The sequence below is a fragment of the Homo sapiens genome, chromosome 22, assembly GCF_000001405.40.
Source record: "Homo sapiens chromosome 22, GRCh38.p14 Primary Assembly".
NCBI classification, from domain to species: Eukaryota; Metazoa; Chordata; class Mammalia; order Primates; family Hominidae; genus Homo; species Homo sapiens.
In genome coordinates, this window is record NC_000022.11 from 26800450 (window position 1) to 26803295 (window position 2846).

The following is a 2846-nucleotide window of genomic DNA, read 5'->3' on the forward strand; positions in this document are numbered from 1 at the left end:
ATCCGGTCTTGGGTATTTGTTTATAGCAACACAAAAAATACTAACATGGGGGTGAGGTTGGAGCGGGGGGAAAGAAGGAGGAGTGGAGGAGACAAGGCTGGGGAACCTCAGGGGCCAGCCAGGAATGGCCAGGGGGCCGCGGCTCTTTGTTTGGATTTCCTTCTAAAGGCAATGAGAAGTGTATTCTAAGAAAACTGGGAAACTTTATAGGGATTTGAAGGAGAGGCCTGTAACAAGGAGGTTTGTGTTGAAGAACATTTCTTTGGCTGTAGTTAAGAGCTGAAGCACTGATCAGGGGCAAGAGTGGAGGCAGGGGGCCTAATTAAGAATTAAGAGCTGATGGGGAGGGAGAGAAGGTGGTGGCCAGGCCTGGGGGTAGAGTCAAGGTACTGAACTCAATTCTGGGGCCCTGGAGCCCTGCTCAAGCCTAAGATGGGAGGGAGGAGGGGCTGCTGCTGCTCTGTGGCTGGGCTGAGTCCCTGTGGGCTGATCTGGAGGGGTTAGAAACAGCCTGGGGAATGTGGAGGTGCTGGCTCAGGCAGGCCCCGCCCCCAGATCAGGGAGGTCACTGGGGCCGGTTAATGACATGGCGCAGGACCCAGGGGCAGGCTGTTCTCTGGGGAACAGTGAGAGGGGGAAAAGGGCATATGTGAATATGTGTGCCCACACGTGTTAGCACAGTCTGTGACGATCTGTATGAGGGTGCACGTGGGTGGGCATGTGTGGGTGTGCCCGGTTGCAGATATATAAACATTTACATAGGCAATGCCTGACATCACTGCAGAAAGAATGTGACATCCTAGGGACAGCAAACTACAGTCCCTTTTTCTTGAGAATTAACCCCACGGACAATGTGCAAAAGTCCTAAAATGCCCAGGAGTAAGAGAATACACACAGCAAGGCCCAAAGAAATCTGGTTTCACTGATGGGCATAATAATAATTTGTTGTTGTTTTTAAGAGTTCTGCAGGTAGTATCTCATTTCATCCTTGCAACGGCTCTACAATTTAGTTACTTATTTTTATTTTCAGGCACTAGAGCTGACCATGTCCCAGGACTATGTGGTTTGCAAGTACTAATCCATTTCATCCTCAAGAAAATGTCTAAGGTTTCATGCCCATTCTACAGATGAGGAAACTGAGGCACGAAGAGCTTAAGAAATGGGTCATACCTTACACAGCTAGTTCACAGGCAGGTCTGGGATTCAACCCCTCAGGGCTGTTTGGCTCCAGACTACACTCTTCAACACCATGTCAGACCATTTGAATCCCCAGTTTACAGATGAAGAAATTGAGGCTCAGAGAGGTGAAGTGACTTGCCTAAAGTCACACAGCTACAAAGAGGTGAGTCTGCCTGATTCCTGAACCCAAGCTCTTGACTCCAATCTCAGTGAGGTGACCACTGGAAGCTTTGCATTCTCCTCTTTCGACCCTCTCAGGAGGTGGGGCCTATGAGTAGTGGTCTTGGGGTTCACCTGTCATTGAGAGACATCTGTCCTCTGCTGAAGGATTAAGTCTTCAGAGTAGATGAGAAGAAGGACAACCCCACAGGACCCTTAGGGGACAGTAGGGAGATGGGCTGCCACCCTCTTGGGGTGGTATTTTCTCTTTCTAATGATTTTTGACAGCTCTGACTGGTTTGGGTGAAGACAGGTTAAGTGCCTTCATACCTGTGCATTTTTTCCAGCTACACAGGGAGAGGCAGGCTGTGTTGAGTGTGTGAATGGTGCCATCAGACACAGCATTCCTGCTGGGGTGCTCCCACCCATCCACACTGCTCCCCGCCACCCCGGCTTACAACAGAACTTTGAATCTAGTCTCTGTGCAATTTCCCCCCGGCTTCTCTGGCTGATCAAGTTGAAATGAAATTAGGGAACATCTACCTTGATAAAGGAAGGTAGGGAAGAGGATAGAGGAGGTGAGTGAAGGCAGAAGGAACAACAAGTAACATTTACAGTCGCTGTTTATTATTGGTATTTACTGGGAACCAGGCACATATATTATCTCGTTAATCCTTATATCCACCCTGAAAAGAAGGGGTTACTGTTAGCTCCATTTTACAGATGAAGAGACTGAGGGTCAGAGAGGCAGTCACCTGTTGACGGTCATCCAGTTAGGGCATTCCCAGGCTGCGATTTCAGAGCATCCTTCTGCGCATCCAAACTCCTATTTACTGGGGACGTACCAGGTGTCCAGAACTTGGGAGGTTTGAGAATCTGTGAGTCATGAAACAGGCAGACCAGAGCTGGCCACATTGGCTGAGGGGAGGAAGGGTGGGAAGACATATCCAGAGATACCTATGGGCAAGTAAAGGATTTCAAGCCACTGTGCTGAGTATCTGTATTAATTCAGTCAATCCACACACCCACCTGTGAGTTAGAAGCTATTAGCACGCCCATTTTACAGATAAGAAAACTGAAGCCCCATGAAGAGAAAGGATCCTACTGCTAGTAAGAGAAAAGCTAGGATTCAAAGCCCGTGATTTTAAAACTGTACTGAGGCTGGGCACGCTGACTCATGCCTGTAATCCCAGCACGTTGGGAGGCCGAGATGGGTGGATCACCTGAGATCAGGAGTTCCAGACCAGCCTGGCCAACATGGCGAAACCCCATCTCTACTAAAAATACAAAAATCAGCCAGGTGTGGTGGCACACCCCTGTAGTCCCAGCTACTCGGGAGGCTGAGGTGGAAGAATCGTTTGAATCTGGGAGGCAGAGTTTGCAGTGAGCCAAGATCGTGCCACTGCACTCCAGCCTGGGTGACAGAGTGAGACTCCATCTCAAAACAAAACAAAACAAAACAAAATAAAACAACCATACTGAGTTTCAGAAAGTGATGGTTAGTGGTG

The 2846-nt window shown here is 48.9% G+C and overlaps 1 annotated feature.

The window, feature by feature from the left end:
• Positions 1-512: an enhancer, noted in NCBI's record as "H3K4me1 hESC enhancer chr22:27196413-27196924 (GRCh37/hg19 assembly coordinates)". NCBI's record gives its function as "activates a minimal SCP1, AML or CMV promoter by ChIP-STARR-seq in primed H9 embryonic stem cells {active_cell/tissue: H9 hESC(primed)}" and the evidence as "EXISTENCE:reporter gene assay evidence [ECO:0000049][PMID:30033119]".